Source organism: Homo sapiens, chromosome 2 (assembly GCF_000001405.40).
Source record: "Homo sapiens chromosome 2, GRCh38.p14 Primary Assembly".
Taxonomy (NCBI): domain Eukaryota; kingdom Metazoa; phylum Chordata; class Mammalia; order Primates; family Hominidae; genus Homo; species Homo sapiens.
The window spans coordinates 176,173,119-176,195,097 of NC_000002.12; the positions used below are offsets into that span (position 1 = coordinate 176,173,119).

The 21,979-nt window shown below is 46.3% G+C and overlaps 1 protein-coding gene, 2 long non-coding RNA genes and 1 other non-coding gene across 16 annotated transcripts, besides 2 other annotated features; 3 read left to right on the top strand and 1 right to left on the bottom strand.

Moving 5' to 3' along the window:
- Positions 1-70: 70 nt before the first annotated feature.
- HAGLR (HOXD antisense growth-associated long non-coding RNA) lies at positions 71-15,840 on the bottom strand. Of its 12 annotated transcripts, none has more exons than NR_110460.1 (5): positions 15,301-15,454; positions 5,911-5,980; positions 4,593-4,708; positions 4,214-4,376; positions 71-3,574 (listed from the first exon to the last, which is right to left on the bottom strand). It is a non-coding gene; the product is annotated as an HOXD antisense growth-associated long non-coding RNA (long non-coding RNA). The 12 variants fall into 12 exon arrangements; NR_110459.1 differs by having other exon boundaries at positions 4,593-4,738; NR_110465.1 differs by lacking the exon at positions 4,593-4,708.
- Positions 4,445-5,239: an enhancer, noted in NCBI's record as "H3K4me1 hESC enhancer chr2:177042291-177043085 (GRCh37/hg19 assembly coordinates)". NCBI's record gives its function as "activates a minimal SCP1, AML or CMV promoter by ChIP-STARR-seq in naive H9 embryonic stem cells {active_cell/tissue: H9 hESC(naive)}" and the evidence as "EXISTENCE:reporter gene assay evidence [ECO:0000049][PMID:30033119]".
- Positions 5,048-5,891, top strand: HAGLROS (HAGLR opposite strand lncRNA). The gene is made up of 2 exons (NR_110457.1): positions 5,048-5,135; positions 5,307-5,891. It is a non-coding gene; the product is annotated as an HAGLR opposite strand lncRNA (long non-coding RNA).
- On the top strand, positions 15,550-17,789 carry HOXD1 (homeobox D1). 2 transcript variants are annotated; one of them, XM_047444086.1, is made up of 3 exons: positions 15,550-16,335; positions 16,431-16,563; positions 16,690-17,789. In XM_047444086.1, the coding sequence occupies exons 1-3, from the start codon at positions 15,684-15,686 to the stop codon at positions 16,715-16,717; spliced, it is 813 nt and encodes a 270-aa protein (XP_047300042.1). In that variant the 5' UTR covers positions 15,550-15,683; the 3' UTR covers positions 16,718-17,789. The 2 variants fall into 2 exon arrangements, with proteins under 2 accessions (XP_047300042.1, NP_078777.1); NM_024501.3 differs by lacking the exon at positions 16,431-16,563.
- Positions 15,725-15,783, top strand: MIR7704 (microRNA 7704). Its single transcript, NR_106991.1, has one exon. It is a non-coding gene; the product is annotated as a microRNA 7704 (primary transcript).
- Positions 19,152-19,692: an enhancer, noted in NCBI's record as "OCT4-NANOG hESC enhancer chr2:177056998-177057538 (GRCh37/hg19 assembly coordinates)". NCBI's record gives its function as "activates a minimal SCP1, AML or CMV promoter by ChIP-STARR-seq in primed H9 embryonic stem cells {active_cell/tissue: H9 hESC(primed)}" and the evidence as "EXISTENCE:reporter gene assay evidence [ECO:0000049][PMID:30033119]".

The following is a 21,979-nucleotide window of genomic DNA, read 5'->3' on the forward strand; positions in this document are numbered from 1 at the left end:
CATGCACACTTGCAAGCAGATCACTATGCCTTTATCTCGCACAATCCCCATGGAAGGCCCCGAAACAGACTGACACTTTGAAAAAAATATTTTATTTATTTGGAGTCTAGTGCATAAATTGGTTCTCGGGATACTTGATTACTTTCCAGCTATTGAAATTAGGGGAGGGGGAAATGAGGATGCAAACCTAAGAAGGTTCTGGGCGGGATGATTTGGGCAGGGCTTTTTGAAAGCAGCGCCTGCTTTGCTGTTTTTACTGCCTTCTTTCTAGACACAATCGACTTTTACACTGGGGAGACCAGAGCTCACTTTTCTGCATTAAGTAACAAAAAATAAACTTTGAAAGAAAACTGACAATCAAAGAAAAAACACAAGAGAAGTTGTAAGAAGAATTGAGCTATGAAAAAGCTAAGGTGTAGAAAAAGAAACCATCATTTGGAGACGCGTACCTAAGCTTTTTCTCTAGGAAATGCTGTCATGAATTCTTCCTTTGTAGTGATCATTAGTTCATTTCTAAAGAAAACAAACATTCCCCAAGATGTAAAGTAATAATATTTCATTAATGAAACATAACAAGTATAAACACCTTGTTTACTCCTGTTTCTTATACAAAATGGGCAAAAATGTCTTCAAGGATTTATAACCATTTTGTAAATATTAATGTGGCTTCTGCTAGGGGTGGACAACTTCCCGGCTTCTATGGGAGGGGCCACTTAGAAAACGCCTTCAGATAAGGTTCAATTCTTTTGTATTTCAGCAAAGTCAGCCCACGCATCTCTATTTGGTTTGACAAATAATGCAACTCCTACTACATCCCCGATGACACGAAGTGAAATTCCTATTGTGTGGAAATAATTTAACTTCTAATCTTCTGGTGGAACAACAATCGTTTCTATTTGGATGTTTGTATTTCACTAAGTAATGATGGCTCAAAATAATATTTAGTTTCCTTGTTCCTTTGTGCTGTTTTTAAAATGGCATGTTAGATTTGGGGGTGGGAGGGGATATCCTTTTGCTAAATTTCACTTTATCTGAGCAGGTTTAAAATATATATGTTGTAGAAGTGTATCAACAGAATAAATGACTTCAATCGAAGGCACATTTTACCCACTTTCAAGGCTTAACATTGTTTTCTATGAAATTTGCATCCATAGGCAGAATTTCTAATTGTCTTGTAAGAAATTATTTTTTAAGCTATTAGAGAAATCAAAGGAGAGCTCACTGCCTTGCAGGGATTACAACCACCTTTCTTAACTGGCTAAATATTAACTAGCTGAATTGTCAGGCTGCTTAGATTCAGCCCGATTTTCCCTCATCTCCTCTTCCTACCATAAATAATAATAAAAATACGTAATGTGTCATGGCTCCAGGCGTTTTCCAGCACAGTGTGTTACCGCAGGAGTATCTGCTGAGTCTGCGGGTGTCTGCAAAGCCCCAAGTGTCATTTGCGGCTTAGGGTTTCATGGATTAGACTTTAAACGGTGTCTAGCCCGGCTGACATTAGCTTCCTCTCACACTCAGGCTCCAAGGAAGTGTGGGATCAGGGGCTCCCTCTCCAGGCAGCCACAGCTTTCCCCGACGCCCTCCTCTCGAGTGGGGTGAGGGCTTGGACCAAATCTGCCACCTTCTGTCATCTCTGGAGGTTCCCGAGACTTCTAATAGCTCGGATCTGTTCCTGCCATTGGCGTGAGACTCATCTGAGGGGCGTGGGTGGGGGTGGGCGGCGAGCCGGGGGAGGGCGCGTTTCCGCGCGGCTGCCAGCCCAGGAGAAAGTTGGGGCCCGCGGCACAGCCATTTAAAACTTCATAAATTATAAACAAGCCGCCTTGGCCTTCGCAATAAATTCCGCTCCTTTTGAGCCTGCAATTAGTGTTAGAAAGCAACCGAGTCTAAACACAACCAAACGCCCTCTGAAGGGCCCAACTGCCTGAGGTTGCAAACCTTTATTTCCCAGCGCCACCCCCTCTCCGACTGAGGTTTGCACACACAGTCGCCTCCTCCCCCGCCACCGCCGGCGGTACACACTCGGCTGGGTTCCCGCTCTGCAAGGGAAGGTCACAATAGCTGCTCTATCGGCTGCGGAGGCGCCTGCCGCCTCCCTCCCGAGTCTCAGAAGCAGAAAAACAAGAGAATGGGGGAGGGGAGGCCCCAGCAACAGCGCCCTTTGCGGGAGGCAACCTCCACCCTAGCCAGGGTCTCTCTCCTGGGACGAGTGCTCGCAGAGGGTTGCGGGGAGGGCAAAGGGAGCGCACCAAGACCACCAGGCTGCTCCAGGCCTTGCCGCAGGGCGCTGGGTTGAGGGTGCCCGGAGCAGCCGCGCCATTGTGTGTCAGGTTTTCCCACGGGATCCGTGATGGGGGAGGCCATATAAAGGGAGCTCGGATCCGGGCCTCTCCGGCATTGGTCTCTGGGAGGGTCTACCTCGTTTGCCCAAGGGGAAGAAATGGCTCTGTCTCAGGCCTTAGCCAGCTCTGCTTTTTTCCTAGAGACTACTTTGGGGAAGGTGGGGATCAGGGAGATTGTGGGTCCTCCTGGGGTCTGAAGAAAGGGGTCAGGGCAGGATCTCAGGCCCATGGCTGAGGGGTGGCAGTCGTCTGGACATTCTAGGTGGTTCTGTCCAGGCAATCAAATATGAATTAAGGCAGGATAGCTGTGAGGCAGCCAGAATGGCCAGCTGCAAAACGGGAGGTGGGGGTGGGGAAGGAGATGCAGACAGTGAGAGCTTTCCCTGCAACCAAGAAAAACTCAGGATCCAGCCAGGAGTTGAAGTGCTGAGACCCAACTGAACTAGCCAGGAAGAATGGGGAAGTGGCAGAAGAAAGGCCTGGAGAGTAGTCCTGGTCACTGGTAAGCAGGTCAGAAAGGGCGATTAAGTACATATTCTGTCTCCTGGCTTTCAGACCTCCACCTTATCCAGGGACCTGACAGAGAAAAATCTGCCTCTGATGGAATCATTAAGTTAACCATCCATTTGTACCATTTCTTTGTACAGGCTTTCAAACGAGAGAGAGGAGAGAATACAGGAGGAGAATGTTTCCCCTTGGTGCAGCCCCAAGCTCCCTATCAGAGACACATCAGCCAAATTAGTTTCCGAGGCTCACAGGCTGCTAACATTGCTGAACAAGATTTTTCGAATTTCTATGTGTTAGGAGTATTAAAAGATAGTGATTACCTATACTAGCAGCCTTTGTCCCTTTTCTCTTCCCTAGTCTGTACCAGCCCACTGGCCCTTGAGTGAAGTGCATCTTCTCAGCCTGCGGACTTGGGAGCTCAGGCTCTCCATCTGTTGAGGTTTTTCATTAGGGAGACTACAGAGGATGTGTGTGGGTGTGTGTTTGAATAACAAAGAAGTAACCCTTCATTCTAATAAAAGTGTTCCTCTGCTTGACCTGGAGGAGCCAGAAGCTTGTTTATACCTTCAGTATTCAAGGGACAGTCACAGGCCTGTTTTGACCTTTTCCTGAGAATTAGCTGAAACTTCCCTCTGAAGTCAAGTAGTGAATCTGTTATAGGTCTAAGGAAGGTCCTCTTCATCTGGGAGTTCTTGGCATTACTTTGGTCCTTCTTTCAGAAACTGAAAGAAAAGAATAGGAAGAACAGAAGTTTGTGAGTAGGCAGGAAGGGACATGGATGACCCCAGTCTTCACAGGACTATGGCCTGATCACTTCGAGGCACTGCAACTTCCCAGAGTATATATGTAGGGCTTGGGTTGAGTGGCCCTGTTCCGACACTTTGGGCACAGGGAGCTGAGACTGGGCTGTCACTAGCCAAGCCCTTACCATCTTTGAGGGCTGGTTCTTAGATCTCTCTTGCAGAAGGCCTGGATAGAAAGGAGAAAGATTGGGTATATTGGGAGGCTGAGACAGGAGAATCGTTTGTACCTGGGAGGCAAGGTTGCAGTGAGCTGAGATCACACCATTGCACTCCAGCCTGGGCATCAAGAGTGAAACTCTATCTCAAAAAAAAAAAAAAAAAAAAAAAAAGATTGGGTACATAAGTCCTCTGCACTTTCTGCACTGGTGATGCTGGAGAGGAAGGACGGTGAATGATAAGAATCATCACAGAGGATGAAATCTTAGTTCTCATTGTTCCCTTCTTTTCTACTCCAGCTACAAATGCCCTTATCTTTGGAGTCCAAGGTTGGGAACAAATGGATTTAAGTACCTGGCCTAAAGCCTATTCCTAAAAACTTCCCTCAGGTTTCACACCTACCTTGGCAAGTTGGAAAGTGCAAAGACAATATAAGGGCCCATTTTCAGGCCAGGTCCAGCATGAAACAGAGTGAACAAAATTAGTTCCACACATTAGGGAAGAGCCAAGTCAGACGAATATCCAATCATTTGCAGTAGTAGAGGCAGGTGAAGGGTCCCCAGATCTGTAAGGCAGGAGTTACTGCATGAGTCTTTCTGTCCTAGATCTTGGGCAAAATGTCCTGATTGGTTCCTATAGCTAGTCTGGATTATTTTAAGGAAAGAATACTACCTGGAGAAATCATAAAAGCTGGGTTTTAACATTAGTAAGGGCCAGAAGAATTTAAATCCTAATTTAAACCAAAATTCATGGAGAGCTCTGGTACAGGCAGTGTTTTTACCTGGGAAGCAGGGCTCAAAACCTGGCCAGGAGGTCTTGTTGGGCCAGGAATGTCCGTGGTTGGTGAGGAGGCTGGGAGAAGGCCTTTTTGATGGCTCCATTGTTCACAGCGCTGCCCTACAAATACCATATCCGTCCCCACCTCCTCTGCAAGGGTCGAGCGGAAGAGTAGGTCTGGTGAGCTGAGCTCTAGGGAGCTGGTACCATCTTCCCTCAATCCCCCTCGGTTACCCCTTGGGGCAGCAACGACGCCATCCCAGCCCCTTCCAGAGAACACACAAAGGAAGCCCCACCCGTCCTTAGACCTGAGGACACGCTCGGGAGCGGGCTGACGTGGACCCCGTTTCAGGGCGCCCCGGGCCCCTGCGGGGAACAATAGCCGCCGCCTCCTGGGCGGTCTGGCGGGCGCGCGGCACAAACGTCCGCGCCGCCACGTGATGCGCGCGCTCGTTCCGCGCTCTCCGCGCCTCAGCGAGCGGCCAGGCTGCGGGCGGGGTGGGCTGGCGCTCCTGATCCACCTGGAACACTTTTGCAAAGACAGACGGTGAGTTAATCACCCTACCGGCTGGCGGCCGCGTCCCCTCTCGCCCGCGAGGAGGACTGGAGAAGGGGCTGGGGTGGAGGTTTTCTCTGTGTGTGTCTAGGGTTGGGGGCAGGAGAGGTTAGTTCTATTAAGAGTTCATCAATCACCCGGTGTGCACTTTTCGCTCGACAGCGGTTCCTCCTACTTCAGAGCAAGTCTGGGCCAGCTGGGATCCGACCAGAAATCGCAAGCGGAGGAGACGCAGTAGCGCAGGCTGAGCGCTAACTGAAGGCGCGACCTGAGCCCGGCGCCTGCTGGGGAGCTGCGCAGCCAGGACAGCGGTCGGCAGCACAGGGCCTGGGCGCAGGGCCCGCCGTCACCACCTCACGTCGGAAGCCAGCACTGCTGCCCGCCAGCCCTGCCGCCTGCCCTCGGACTTCCCAGGGCGCCCAGGGTCCTCCCAACGCGCCTGCACCCACACCCGCCCCTGAGCCACAGTGACCTTGCATTCCCCGCCCCCTGCCACACCTCCTGCGTGCCCGAGTGTCACCCTTAAATACCGCTCTACACCCAGAGAGGGACGAATACACCTCTGAAGACAGGGCAAGACTAATTTCAATGGGTCAGAAGGTTCTTGCAGGCACTGTTTTATTTAAGAGTGCCTATTTACTGGCAGGAGTATTTGTGTGGGAGGAAGTAGGCTAAGACTGCTGTTGAACTTGAAGCTAAACTTGAATGCCATTTAAAATAACAATAAAAATATACTTAAAACACCAATCACAATGATATGACTCACCTCTTTCCAGTGTGGAGGAAACACTCCAGTATTTTTACCTCCGTTCTTTCCGGTGTATTTTAAGAACACCCTAAAGGGATAGACAGTAAGTGTCTGAGGGTAGTCACTAGCATTAGAGCTGTTTACAGCAGGAGGGTTTGGTGGAGTTAGTGGTGAAGCATTTTTATAACCCTTCTGGAGTGGTCATGCTGTTCTCTTTGTAAATCCTAACAAGGTTCCAGCCTAGTTCCCCTTTTACCCTTTTTTGCTGCGGGACTTCAGCTGAGATGTTTCTGAAGTTAGTAAATGTGTTGCCTCAGGCCACAGAAAATAGTCCCTGAAGGAAAGAAAGCCTCAGCTTTGCCCCCTCTTCCTTCAGCCTTCTCTCCCTTCATCCTCTTGGGTGGAAAATTAACTTGCTTTGGAAAAATGTTCTACCATCTTGCTTCAGATAGATATAAGCTGAAGCATTAAGCCTCACACAGTGTCCTGAACTCACTGAGCAATGAAACTACTGGTCCTGCTGTCCTTGGTTCAGTCTGTTCCTCCTCCTTGCCTTTCACCAATTTCTAGTGAACAGCTCCTATACACACTGTGCTGGGCTCTGGGATACAAAGACAAGTCACTGATGGTGTATGCTCTTCAATCTAGTGGGGAAGAGAAATAATCTTAAAACAATATGACAGGTGCTATAACAGAGGTGTGGTCAAAATGTTCCTCTAATAAAAAAGGAGCCACTAGTAGTACTATAATGTCAAAAAAAATAGTTTCAGAGGAGGTGAATTCGGGTTCCTGAAACATAAGCGTTTTTCAGGCCAAGAAGGGAAGCCATACCAGGTAGAGAGGACAACTCATGCAAAAGCAAAGAGGGAGGAAAAAGCAAAGTCTGGGCTTGGAACAAGGAGAGTACTTTGGAGTGTGGTTATCCTGGCTGAAAAGAGAGGTTGCACAGGGTTCACGTGAAGGAGTCTGGACCTACTCTCTAGAGACTGGGGAGCCACTGCAGGTTTTAAGCTGGGATGTGAAGTTATGTATTTTGAAGCTAACTCAGGGATGCTGTGTCTGATTGGAGAAAGGAGAGACACGAGGCAAGAAGAACAAAATAGGAGGCAACCGCAACAACACAGCAGAGAGAGGAACTAATGTAACAAGAGTGAAGAGAAAAGACATTTAGAGGTAGAATTCACAGGACTTAGTGATCAATTGGATGAGTAAAAGAGGAGTTGTGGATGTTAATCTCTAGATTTGAGGGACTGAGTCACGTCATTCACTAAAATGAATAGAGGAGGGAGAAGAGAAGGCTTTGCAAGGAATCTAATGAGTTCGGTTGCAGTCTACACTGTATTTTCTGCTTTGCTACTGATACACTGTGTGGCCCTAAGCAACCCACTTAATCTTTCTGGACTTCAGTTTCATCAGTGAAAGAGTCAATAAAGATATCTACCTCATAGGCTTATCATTAGAGTTGTATGGGAATGCGTGTTAGATATTGGTATCTTCACCAGGTCCAAGTGAGTGTTCTATATAAAGCTAAAACCTAGGAAAAACACACCCGCACTCACACCATGCTGATGAATACTTAGATCCTGGGTGTCCAGTGAGAAATGTCTTAGAGAAATTAAAAACAACAACATCCTACTGCTTCCTAGATATTGAATCCAAGCTAATGTTTAGGACTAGGTCAGATCAAATTGCTATTCAGAGCCCTCTCCTTCAAGAGCGGTACTTGCTGGAGGATTCATGCAGTAATGTGTTCTTGGTATCAAACCACTAAAGAGGTCTTTTAGCAGATGTCAGAAAGCTTCAATGCTTTTTTTTTTTTTTAAAATATCATGTGTCTTTCAGGGAATGCTTGAAGCCACCTACTCTCTTTTGAACCTCCTTGAGCCCTGTGTGGAATGGTGTAGTATAGAGAAGAGTGCTGAACATCTGACTTTGGCCATTTACACCGGGTGTGATTACAGCAAGTTGGTTATCTTTTCTGTGTTAGTATTATCATTTGTAATACAGAATTATGAAAGGCTCAAGATAAGGAAGAGAGATATTTTGGGAGATGTTATAAGAGTAAATAAAAGGTATTATTTTTCACTTATCAGATTGGCCAACATAAAAACTTCAACATCCCATTGACTTGGCAAAGGTGTGAGGAGACAGGAACTCTCATATATTGCTGATAGAGGTATAAATTAATTTATTTCTGTGGAGAAATGTATTAAAACTCACAGTGCACATATCTTTTGACTAAATCATTTCACTTCTACAAATTTTTCTAATAGGTAAAAGCTTGACCATGTGTTTGTAATAGCAAAAGGTTGAAAACAAGCTATATGCCCACCAACAGGGAATGGCTAAATGAATTGTGGCAGGTGTATACAGTAGAACAGTATGAAGTTATAAAAGTAAACCAGGGCCAGACGCCGTGGCTCACATCTGTAATCCCAGCACTTCGGGAAGCCAAGGCTGGCAGATCACTCAAGCCCAGGAGTTTGAGACCAGCCTGGTTTTGTAGAGATGAAACCTTATCTCTACAAAAAATACAAAAATTAGCTGGATGTGCTTGTGCATGCCTGTAATCTCAGCTACTCAGAAGGGTGAGGTGGGAGGATCACCTGAGCCCCGAGAAGGTTGAGGCTGCAGGGAGCCATGATTGCACCACTGCACTCCAGCCTCAGCGACACAGTCAGACCCTGTCTCAAACAACAACAACAAATCCAGGAAGTTATGTGTGGATATATATGGAATGGTCTGAAAGATACAATAGGGGGAAAAGCATGGTGCGAAAAAGTCTGCCTAGCATGCTACCATTTGTGTAAAAACCTGTGGAGTACACACACACACACACATATATATAAATTATGCTAGTAAAAAGTGTCTCTGTAAAGATACACAAGTTGGTTGCTTATGTGAAGGGGAACTAGGTAGCTGGGAACAAGAGTGGGAGGAAGACTTTTCACTGTATACCCCTTTGTACCCTTTGAATCTTGAAGCAAGCATATTTAAATTTATTACTCTTTTGAAAAAATAAAAGAAGTCGGGCACAGTGGCTCTCACCTATAACCCCAGCACTTTGGGAGGCTGAGGCAGGTGGGTCACCTGAGGTCAGGAGTTCGAGACCAGCCTGGCCAACATGGTAAAACCCCATCTCTACTAAAAATACAAAAATCAGCTGGGCATGGTGGCACAAGTCTGTAGTCCCAGCTACACAGAAGCTGAGGCAGGAGAATCACTTGAACCCAGGGGGTGGGGGTTGCAGTGAGCCAAGATCACACCACTGCCCTCCAGCCTGGGCAACAGAGCAAGATTCTGTCTCATAAAAAAATTAAAAAAAAAAAAAAAAGGAACAGAGCAGAGGGTGCGGGGAGGGAGAAGATCAGGAAAAATAACTAATGGGTACTAGGCTTAATACCTGGGTGATGAAATAATCTGTACAACAAACCCTCATGATACACGTTTATCTATTTAACAAACCTGCACATGTATCCCTGAACTTAAAAGTTACAAAACAAAACAATGCCATTACTCACCCTGACTAAAATGATAAAGGAACAACAACAAAAAAATGTTTAGTACAAGTGACCTGGGTGTGCCTGTGTGTGTTCATATGTGTCCTTATTTGTACTTGCTCTATCCAGCAAAATTAATCTTGGGATACCTCTTGTTTTATTCCCCCAGGGCCCTGATGCTGATCAACCTCAACGATAATGAGGGGATTCTTCACTGTTGCTTGGTGCTGGGGTCACAGGTCTGTCTCTACCCTCTCTTCTAGGAGGACTCAAGATGAGGCTACAGAAGTCTGGCAGAGCAGCAGGCCTCTCAGTCAGAACCACTGACTGTGTGGCCTCCCGGAAATGAGTGTGCCTTCTTGAACACTGCTGTGCTTGCTTGGGATGGAGGCCTGCCACAATGCCAAGGAGTAGCTACTATATTTCTTCCTCTTTGCAGACTGTGAAAAGGCAATGGACTGTGGAAAGTCACGAGACCCAAGGTGGTTCCATTTTTTGCAGGATGGCTTTGCCTTTTAACCTCTGAGTAAAGTGACTTCCTCTCTAAAATTAGGGGTTTGATTTAGCTTATCTGGAAGGTGTTTTCTAGCTTTGACATCTTAGGCTGTGAAAAGTCAGCCTTTAGCCAGAGAAAGAGTTACTGCTTAGGCTAAGGGACATTTGGCCCCCTCTGGATCCCTGGGGCTCAAAGGCATATTCCAATTTGAGAGATGGAAGAAAAAAAAGGCTGAGTCCTCTCTCTTCAGATGCCCATTCTCACTCCTTCCTTCTTCCCATTGCCTCAGAACCACTCTAAATTTTCTCTGAAGAGACTGGGAGAGACAAATCTCTTTCTCTTCCCACCCCACTGGCATCATCAAAGCCAAGGTAAGGAAGTGGCAAGAAGCAGAAGTGAGCCCAGTCTCTGCAAAGCACCAATTGGTCAGCAAAACTTGGGAAACTTCCAACTGACCACTTCTTAAGGATATGCTCTAGAACTTCAGCCGAAGTAGACTTAAGTTTTACCTTGACATTGACCTCTCTGCAACCCAACAAACCTCTGGACACTTTTTAGGTATACTCATGTGCCAGCTAGCCATGACCTCTCATCACTCATGGTCCCTCCCATAGGAACATCTCCTTTCTTCCCACACGGCCCCCTCCCACCCCAACTCCTACAGCAGAATTATTCAAAGTGTGGTCCCAAACAATCTTGCTTTAGGATCACCCAAAAGTCTTGTTAAAAAAAAAAAAAAGGATTCCTAGGCCAGGCACAGTGGCTCATACCTGCAATCCTATCACTTTGGGAGGCTGAGGTGGGTGAATCACTTGAGCCCAAGAGTTCAAGACCAGCCTGGCCAACATGGCAAGACCTCGTGTCTATGAAAAAATCAAAAATTAAAAAAAAATTCCTGAGTCAGACTATTAGGTAAAAATCTCTGGGGGTGACTCAAGAAACCTGAACTTTTAAACAAGATTCTATGGTGATTTCTACCCACCTGATGTGGTTTTGGGAGGCAACAATCTAAAGATATCCTTCAGCCAATATTAGTCACGGTAAAGACACACCATTCTGTCCACTCTGCTTACGTCCAACAAACACTTTTGAATGCCTCCATGTGTCAATCACTGGCTTGACCAGTAAGCCTTTCATTCACAAAATTCTCAGGGAAAGGCACAGCACTTTAAATGGTTTTCCTCAGGGAATGTCATATTGTCAGATTTCCAACAGGTTTAGAATTCTTGTCCTTAGGACTCCTTTGCATCCCTACCTCCATCCTAGGATGACTGAGGGATGCTACAGAGAACTGCATCTTAATCTTCACTTTCTCTTAATGTGGATTAAGAAAAAAAAGACACCCACCCTTTTTTACCCCAACAAACAAGATTTTCTGTGACTTGGGGTTAGGAAGCCAAGCGTTGCAATGTGCTCAAGTGCCTCCAAGCGGTAACACAGTGGGACTTGTCTAGAGGGCTTACCCGGAGCTTCTTGAAAACAACTTAAAACACACAGAAGCAATCCCTGCATTTTGGGAGGGTGAGGTAGGTGGATCACTTGAGGTCAGGAGTTCGAGACCAGCCTGGCCAACATGGCAAAACCCTGTCTCTACTAAGAATATAAAAATTAGCTGGGTGTGGTGGCATGTGCCTGTAGTCCCAGCTACTTGGGAGGCCGAGGCATGAGAATCGCTTGAACCCGGGAAGTGGAGGTTGCAGTGAGCCAATATCGTGCCACTGCATTCCGGCCTGGGTGACAAACCGAGACTCCATCTCAAAAATAAAATAAAATAAAATAAACACACAGAAAACCAGACTGCCACCCTTTATCACTTCTGTCTGCAGAAAAGAGGCTAGTTATTAGAAAGGGAGAGAAAGGTAGTCATGAAAGGGATAGGGAGTGGGTAGGGGGTGGCTGCTGTGGTGAGCAGGATGGGAGAGATTTCAAAGCATTCCTACATCAAACACAAGCTGGCAATTGGGCCCCTCTGCTGTCACCTCCCGTGGAGAACTCAGCACCAGGACCCAGCAGAGCAAGTGACCCTGGGGAATTCATGGCTTGACAAGTAATAAAATTAGTAAGACATTTCTCCCATACTTGGTGAACATCTAAGAGACAAACTTTAATGTTACTCAAAATATGCTATATTCACATCTTTCTATATTTCCCCAATAATATCTTCCAATTTCTCCTTAGATAATTATACATTAAGATTCCTCTAGAGTAGATTTATAGTATAGCTAAAACCTGTGTCAGAAATAAATCTCTAGCTCCTTTGGTTTAAGACTGTCTTTTCCCTAGCCTAACTTTCTCCTAACAAAATGTCATTACATAGTAAATCCTTGGCAAACATCTGTTGAATTTGAGTATGAGATGACCAGAGTCATGACTTCCAACCTGAGCAAGTCAAGAACCAGTCCAAGAATGGAGATGCTAACTCTGAGCCCCAAGGTGTGGGATATGCCAAGGATTTGGAGATTAAGGGAGTGGAGAGAAGGGTGAACAGAATGTAGCTTTCTTTTTGTTTGAGACGGAGTCTCGCTCTGTCACCCAGGCTGGAGTGCAGTGGCATGATCTTGGCTCACTGCAACCTCCACCTCCTGGGTTCAAGCGATTCTTCTGCCTCAGCCTCCCAAGTAGCTGGGACTACAGGCGTGTGCCACTAATTTATTTTTATTTTTATTTTTTTTAGTAGAGATGGGGTTTCACCGTGTTAGCCGGGCTGGTCTTGATCTCCTGACCTCGTGATCCACCCATCTCAGCCTCCCAATGTGCTGGGATTACAGGTGTGAGCAACCGTGCCCAGCCAGAATGTAGTTTTCTGTATGCGATTATCAAAGAAATGCTATTGGGTCTGAACAAATATTGAACACCTCTCCCTCGCTCTCACCCACAGTTGTGAAAACAAAACAAAACAAAACAGTATTTTTAAAAACTTCATTCTTTTTTAGGGCACTTTCTTCCCTCAGAAAGGCTAAATCTCCAAAATTTTACTTGATGGAGCTAGTGTGGATAGCTCATGGGTGCATTAAAGTCAAGGCCTAATTATATCATGAAGGACCCAGCCTTTGCCCCAAATGCCCAGGAGGAAAAACTTAGTCTTTGTTGCCATGAAAGCTGCCAGGACACCTAGGCAGCCTGATTTTTCTGAAACCTTAGAGAAAAGGCCCTTAATTTGAGGGGTTTTGGTCAGACTTGCCGGACAGTCAGGCTGACTCTTCTGCCCTAAACCCTGGGTTGCAGCCGGCTGGATGTCTTCCCCAAAGAGGTTTACAAAGTCATCCTTCCTTCTTGACCCATGGGGCCTCTAGGCTTTGGAGTTGTGATAGGATAAGTATCATTTGAGGGAACACTGTGAGAGCTGGGACATCTTGCAGATAAAAACTGGCTATTAAAATCTAGCCAGAGGTGGAGGAGGGGGCATTGTGAACTCAGCAGCATCTTATTTGCTGTTACTTTTGCATAAATGGCACAGGAGAGCAGTGAAGAAACGTGTCTACATTTTAAGGCTGAGCTAGCTCTGAAGAGCTCTAACATTTCCTAACTGGGGTGTTAGGGAAGAACTTTTATTTTTCTCTTCTTAAAAATTATTTAGGGCCGGGCGCGGTGGCTCACGCCTGTAATCCCAGCACTTTGGGAGGCCGAGGCGGGCGGATCACGAGGTCAGGAGATCGAAACCATCCTGGCTAACACGGTGAAACCCCGTCTCTACTAAAAATACAAAAAATTAGCCGGGCATAGTGGTGGGCGCCTGTAGTACCAGCTACTCGGGAGGCCGAGGCAGAAGAATGGCGTGAATCGGGGAGGCTGAGCTTGCAGTGAGCCGAGATCGCGCCACTGCACTTAAAAAAAAAAATTAAATAAATAAATAAATAAAAATTATTTAGGACCTTATCTGACTGGCTATAGCACAACTGAAATAGCAAAATCAAGATTGAAGGGCTATTTTCAGCACAGGTATTCCATTTCCAATCAAACTCAAGAACTCCAGCAGTGCAGGAACCACAGACCTCTTTAACTTTGTGCTGATTCCTAGGCATCCACCCTCTACTGGCTCCCCTCAACCTGGGGACATCCCTCCCCCATCCTGCAGCAACTTCGGGTCCATCAGTAGTCCACATTTTGGTAGGGCTTTGTTTATTCACAAGTCCACAACCCTGGAAGGAACTGGCTCCCTGGGCTGTGATGGCGCCTATTCTAAAGACTTCCTCAGAGTGGAAATTTAGGCAACAACAGCTCAATCGCTCTTTTATGACAAGTCAATCAGTAAAACAATGATAAAACCTCGGTTACCATAACTTAGAGGCTGTAATAGATTAACTTTTCAAGGGCACTTGATATAAGCTCTGAGTAGACTCTTTAGAGTCTTTATTCACACAGGGTTTTAGGAAACCACCCTCTTTCATAACTACTGTGTGTAAATAACCTCTATTTATCTAATTTGTAATTTTCCTACAGTCCCCTCAAAAGGGAACATTAAAAGAAATACTAAAGGAAGTTGGAAAGTTTGTCAATGTAAAGCTGGTCTTTGTAACCTTTCTACTCTTCATTTCCTGTGGCAATTGCACTTTTATTTCCCGTCTCTCTACACTCAGTAAACAAAACCATATTATCAAGGGAAAGACGTGAGCCCATTAACATTGTGAGCCCTCAGATTTCACTCACAAGAGACGATGCAGCACTTATCTGATGGAGCAGAAGCTCTAATTGCTTCGAGGTACAAGTCCATCTAAACCTCTGAGATCTCACCCGTCCCCGGTAAGCCCTTGCGCCCTCCAGACAAGCTCCTCAGTGAAAGCAAGCGCCGCACCGGTGCCTGTGCCAGTCTCCCAGAAAGGAGCATAAGGAGTGTTCCACCACCACTCTGGATTCTTTATTCCAACAACCCAGCCGGAGGGGAAAATCTGCTAAACCACCCCACAAGGCAGAAACTTTATCAAAATCTGGCACTACAACACTGGCCCTCATCACGCCGCCACAAATTGCGAGGGATAGAAGAAAGCTGCAAAGTCACGTTAAAAGGAAGCCTAGTCAAAAAGTGAAAATTTTGTCCCGCCCTAGGCACACAGCACTCACAGCATAAGATGTAGTTCCATGAGTCCTAGGAAAGGGGGAAGAAAGGAAAAAACCAAACATCTGCTCTAGGTTTAGAAGAGGGATAACATCAGCGCCAAGCAAACCGAAAGCGCAGAGGACTCAGAAGAGGGGAAGAGGAATAACTTTATCTGTCCTGGAGGTGGGCGAAGAGCAGTCTCCACCGGCCGCGCGTCACGCTCCCATTTAACCTTTTCCATGCCGCGACGCCCACACTCCGCCCTCGAGGGACTAGCCCCCCCCACGATCCAGAGCAGAAGCGGCTCGCCCCGCTGCATCCACGGGCCCTCACCCAAGCGTCCAGTCCTGCCTTTCTCCCCCCACCTCGCCCAATACCTGTCCGAGAGCAGGCGTTCTGCCCTCTCGCCCCGCCCTTGCCCAGGCAGCCCCCGGTCGCGACGGCTCTCCTCGGGGCTCGGGGGCGCTGGGCGGCGGCCCTGGGCTGCTTTGGCTAACTTGGCTGCGGGGCAGGCGCGAGGAGCGGCGCGCCGACCGGGCCGAGCGGAGAGGCCGCCCATTGGCCGGCCAGCGCCACGTGGCCGCCCCCGCCGGTATATTAGGCCACTATTTACCTCCGGCTCACTCGCCATGGGTTGGAGAGGGCAGCTCGGGTAGAGAGGGCTGGCGGAGCGGCGCAGACGGCGGCAGTCCTGCTCAGCCTCTGCCCGGCTCCGTACTCCGGCCCCGGCCTGCGCCCTCAGAAAGGTGGGGCCCGAACCATGAGCTCCTACCTGGAGTACGTGTCATGCAGCAGCAGCGGCGGGGTCGGCGGCGACGTGCTCAGCTTGGCACCCAAGTTCTGCCGCTCCGACGCCCGGCCCGTGGCTCTGCAGCCCGCCTTCCCTCTGGGCAACGGCGACGGCGCCTTCGTCAGCTGTCTGCCCCTGGCCGCCGCCCGACCCTCGCCTTCGCCCCCGGCCGCCCCCGCGCGGCCGTCCGTACCGCCTCCGGCCGCGCCCCAGTACGCGCAGTGCACCCTGGAGGGGGCCTACGAACCTGGTGCCGCACCTGCCGCGGCAGCTGGGGGCGCGGACTACGGCTTCCTGGGGTCCGGGCCGGCGTACGACTTCCCGGGCGTGCTGGGGCGGGCGGCCGACGACGGCGGGTCTCACGTCCACTACGCCACCTCGGCCGTCTTCTCGGGCGGCGGCTCTTTCCTCCTCAGCGGCCAGGTGGATTACGCGGCCTTCGGCGAACCCGGCCCTTTTCCGGCTTGTCTCAAAGCGTCAGCCGACGGCCACCCTGGTGCTTTCCAGACCGCATCCCCGGCCCCAGGCACCTACCCCAAGTCCGTCTCTCCCGCCTCCGGCCTCCCTGCCGCCTTCAGCACGTTCGAGTGGATGAAAGTGAAGAGGAATGCCTCTAAGAAAGGTAAGTCCGCGGGCCTTGGATGGGGCCACCTGGGGTTGGGGACGGAGCCTCCCCCGCGGAAATGCGCTGGGAGCGTGGTGTCGCTGCCTTTCCAGACAGCGGTTTGGGTTTTGTGGAGGAGACGCGTTCCCGGGCGAATTCCATGGAGTCTGCCTCGAGTACAGATTCGGAAAATGTGCCAGGCATTGAGAAAATTTCAGGAAGGAGCTCTCCGTGGAACTTCTCCTGGTACAAATTCTGTTCCTAGGGACCCAGGAGGGCTGCGCTGGGACTTTGATTCTAACTAGCTCCACTGCTCACCCACATTCTGTCCCCGGCCTCAGGCCTGGCTGACGCCCTGTCTTTACGTTGCAGGCAAACTCGCCGAGTATGGGGCCGCTAGCCCCTCCAGCGCGATCCGCACGAATTTCAGCACCAAGCAACTGACAGAACTGGAAAAAGAGTTTCATTTCAATAAGTACTTAACTCGAGCCCGGCGCATCGAGATAGCCAACTGCTTGCACCTGAATGACACGCAAGTCAAAATCTGGTTCCAGAACCGCAGGATGAAACAGAAGAAAAGGGAACGAGAAGGGCTTCTGGCCACGGCCATTCCTGTGGCTCCCCTCCAACTTCCCCTCTCTGGAACAACCCCCACTAAGTTTATCAAGAACCCCGGCAGCCCTTCTCAGTCCCAAGAGCCTTCGTGAGGCCGGTACTTGGGGCCGAAAAACTGTGGCCTGCAGAAGTCCCAGGCGACCCCCATCCCTATCTAGACTTAGGAGCTCAGTTTGGGATGGAGGTGGGAGAACAAAAATGAATAGGGATTTCACTTGGGAAATGAAGTACTTTAGTTGGCTTCCGAGTTCCAGACTATATGTCCAGATATTAATTGACTGTCTTGTAAGCCACTTGTTTGGTTATGATTTGTGTCTTATCAGGGAAAAGGTGCCCAGCTGCCAGCCCAGCTCCGCTGCTATCTTTGCCTCACTTAGTCATGTGCAATTCGCGTTGCAGAGTGGCAGACCATTAGTTGCTGAGTTCTGTCAGCACTCTGATGTGCTCAGAAGAGCACCTGCCCAAAGTTTTTCTGGTTTTAATTTAAAGGACAAGGCTACATATATTCAGCTTTTTGAGATGACCAAAGCTAGTTAGGGTCTCCTTGATGTAGCTAAGCTGCTTCAGTGATCTTCACATTTGCACTCCAGTTTTTTTTTCTTTAAAAAAGCGGTTTCTACCTCTCTATGTGCCTGAGTGATGATACAATCGCTGTTTAGTTACTAGATGAACAAATCCACAGAATGGGTAAAGAGTAGAATCTGAACTATATCTTGACAAATATTATTCAAACTTGAATGTAAATATATACAGTATGTATATTTTTTAAAAAGATTTGCTTGCAATGACCTTATAAGTGACATTTAATGTCATAGCATGTAAAGGGTTTTTTTTGTAATAAAAATTATAGAATCTGCTGCTCTCTGCTTTTCTTACACTCTTTAATAATGATTCTCTTTCTTTAAAGTTGATTCAGTTTCCTGTATTTGAATTTTCTTGATTCTGCTATGAGAATTTGTTTATGTTGATAACTTTTTTTTTTTTTTGACACGGAGTCTTGCTCTGTTGCCCAGGCTGGAGTGCAGTGGCACAATTCTGGCTCACCACAACCTCTGCCTCCCAGGTTCAAGTGATTCTCCTGCCTCACCATCCCCAGTAGCTGGGATTACAGGCATGAGCCACCATGCCCAGCTAATTTTTTGTATTTTTTTTAGTAGAGACGGGGTTTCACCATGTTGGCCAGGTTGGACTCGAACTCCTGACCTCAGGTGATCCGCCCACCTCGGCCTCACAAAGTGCTAGAATTACAAACGTGAGCCACCACGCCCAGCCGATAACTTTTAAAAATAATACTTCCTACAGGTTGTGTACACACCCAGCAAGTTATGGGCAATTAGTAGTTTAAGAGAGAAAACTACTCTGCCAAATATCCAAGTAACTATGGAAATACTTTCCTTACCTTGAGTGCCCTAATTTTATGGTAGGTGTGTAGTCTGCACATTTAACTCAAGTGTTAGGTGCCTACTGTGGAATGTTGTAAAGCCAAGGAGACACTTCAGGGAGATCTTGTTCTTTTGTCTCCTGTCCTCACAAAAGGAAGAGGAAAGGTGACCTGAAGACTTTGTTTCTTGGTTAGTGTTCCCTGAGAAAGGCAGCTGCACATCAAAAAGTTCTCAGTGGCTGAATTCCCATTTCCAAAGTCAAGAGTTACAAAGGAGGCTGGGAAAGGCTAGTAGTCACAAATTTCTACTTCCTGTAACCCAGACTGAGTATCTGGCGGAGAGAGAGCACAGACAGTGCCTTTCTGATTTCAAAAATGAAATATTTTCAAATGAATACTTTGGAAGAGGTACAAGCACAAAACTTGAAAGTTGACAAGAGAGTATGTGGTTAAAAAAAACCCCAAAACCTATTCTCTAATCTATTTCACCCAAACTCCCATTTCTCATCCCGGGAGGCATTCATAGTTGACCAGAGTTTATGTAAACTTGCAGAAATATGAGAAAAAGATGCAATATAAAGATACAGAATCAAGTGGATACTTGGGACAGTTTTGGGGAGTACGTCCTTATTTTACAACTATATCTTTAAGTTCTTTCTATAGTTCAACAGAAGGGCTAACGGCCCAAATAATTCAGATAAGAACCTCAGCTCTTTTAGCTAGATTTCTAGATTCCAGTATAATGCTTTAAATCTAATTATTCATAAATCTAAGCAACTGTGAAAGATTACCTTTTTTATAAAGCAGCAATATGATTAGTTCTCTTAGAAAATTGGAGTTACACTGAAGTTCTCATTCTTTGCACCTATAGTTGAATGGAGTTGAAGAAATAAAATGATCAGCTCCAACAAACTCAGCTGATTAGAGGGAAAAGATACTGCTTAAAAAGCAGGTCTGTCAATATTATTCTTGTTTCCCCGGCTGCCCTTTAATAACTTGATGCTAATTGAATCTTGTTTGAAACAACAGCCCCCCTCTGAGCTCTACTGCTATTTGAAAGAACTTGTTAAAGGACTTGTGATCTGCTTGCTTACAGCCACCTCTGGGCTTCCCCTGCAGTGGTCTTTGACATGACAATGTTTCCTTTTTGATAAGCATTTAAATGTACACCTAAACAACAACAACAACAAAATACCAACATGCTGGGTCATTTCCTTAATCTACCACCCTTTTCTCTGAGAAAATAAAGCTTTTCCTTCTGAAGCTAGTACTAGCACTTAGCCCTGATGGATGTCTTCCTTGATGAAGGTGGCTATTATGACATTCGTATAATGCTATTCTATGAATCAGGCCAATATTAGCTATTTTTTGCCCAACCCCAGGGATCTTTAAAAGCTTTCTTAATGCAGATCACTGTACAGCTATATTCAGTATTAGGAAGAGTCCTGGCTGGAGATCGGGATGAACTAGGTGACCTCTGGAGGTCCCTCCCAACAATGAAAATGCTACAATTTAATGACTTCTGCATATTTTATTTTAGACCTATCATTTGAAGGGAGTTAGGCTCTAAGAGAAAGCAAATGTGCTGTCTAGGATTACAGTGATACTGTGTTTATACAGGAAAAGAGGATTTTAGACACTATCAAATACATGTTGTCAGTGGAGGTACCTAGGCAATGTGGATCATTTACAGAGCATTCCTTTTCCTATTATTTTGAGCCTTGTGTTATTTTGAGTCAGATCTCCATGAAGTATGAGGTTACTATGTAAACTGCAACTACTCAAACAATCCCGTTTCTATTTTACAAGATTTCAAACTAAATATGCTAATTTACCCTCCAGTGATCTGTTACAAGGATGAATACACAGTGGACAGTTCTGGCTGTTGTATAATTAACTATTCAATGTTCCTTTGTCTTCACATAATGACCATGTGTCTACTTTTCTGGATCAGGATAATTGGGAGTGAGGAAAAGGAAAGCACTTAATAATATATAAAATTCCCATAAGTTGAGTACTAGCAAATGAAGGCTTTGCTGATATAAAAACCTAAAGCAATGTCACCTAGAGTTTCAAAAGATTAATTGTGTGTGATTTATGCTGCCTCAATCTCAAATATGGTGAGGACCAACACCAGAAAAGGCTGTCTGATTATCGTGTCATCCAAAAAAAACAGAAGCAGGCTCAGGAGAGTTGCATTAGCTCTGAAGTTCTTAATTATTCCTTATGGCCAAAGAAATGATCTATATTTGCTGAATATTGAATTTGAAAACCTCAGGATCTAATCAGTTTCCGAGAGTTGTTTAGTCTGACCACAGACCTCTCAACAAGAAAAATGCCCATTGTTAAAACTTTATTTGTGGTTTTAAAGTAAAACCATAGTGGACATATCTCACGAAGATAAATATCCGTCTAAATAGAAACAAAGATGTTCATGGTTTTTACCTCTATCTAATGTTTTCAAGTCATGAACATGCAACAAATCTGCAAAATAACTCTATTTCAACATCTCATTTGTAATTGCTTATTACGTTGTACTTGTTATTCAGAAATAAAATTTCTATAGAAACTGTTTAACTAGATTCAATAATGAACCAAGAGGATGAAAATCCTAAATATTGGTGTGAAAGGAAGGTCTATTACTTAGCTTGTAAAGATTTCAACATAATCTCTTCTCCTTCTAGAAATCTTACTGATGTATTTTGGAAAGAAGGGCCAAAGAGTAGTCATTTGGACTTGTCATAGCTAATAAACTATTACAAGTTTATTAAAACTGACACTTTTGAGGCATTTCTAGAAGGTGCTGGACTCTTCAGCACACTGAATTCTTAGGGATTTTGTAGAGCCTAAGCTTATACAATTTGGGGAAACCTCTTTAAGGAAAAAAATACAAAATTGTTAATACAAAATTCCCAGGATGTGGAATGGTTCAAGTTAGTGAAGTTTACATTTCACTGGGCTCATAGTAAATTCATATCTGCCCCTTCCTTGAAACCATCACTTTTTCTCCACTGCCATCATTGCCTATGAGATAATAGCAATGATCGCTTTTCTCTAACATCTTAGAGCCAGAGTCACTCTTTCTCTTCAAATGCATCAAATAGTGGATAATGGGGACAAGGGCAGGTTGGCACTCTGTTCTACTCTCTTAGCATCTCAATCTCACTGTGCTCTTCTGGGCTACTGGGTGGCTGACTTTAGCCAGTGGCTTTTCCCATTCTACTGCCTTAGAATGGGAACCCTATCTCATCCTAGAGGTCCCCTTCTGTTGTGTTTTCTTCTCAAAGATATAAACAGAAGAGAAAGATATAGCTGGAGACAATGCAGCCACATTGTTAGCGTCTAAACATTTCCTAGGATGGAACCACTGAGGCTGAAGTAAAGGACCCTGAACAAATAACATTATTATTTTTCTTTTCTTAGAAATGGGATCTTGTTTTGTTGCCCAGGCTGGTCTTGAACTCTTGGGCTTAAGTGACCCTCCTGCCTTAGCCTCCCAAGTAGCTGGGAATATAGGCATGCGCTGTCACACCCAGTAAGAACATTATTCTTTTGCTTTTTTTTGAGATGGAGTCTCGCTCTGCCGCCTAGGCTGGAGTGTACTGGCGCAATCTCAGCTCACTGCAAGCTCTGCCTCCCGGGTTCATGCCATTCTCCTGCCTCAGC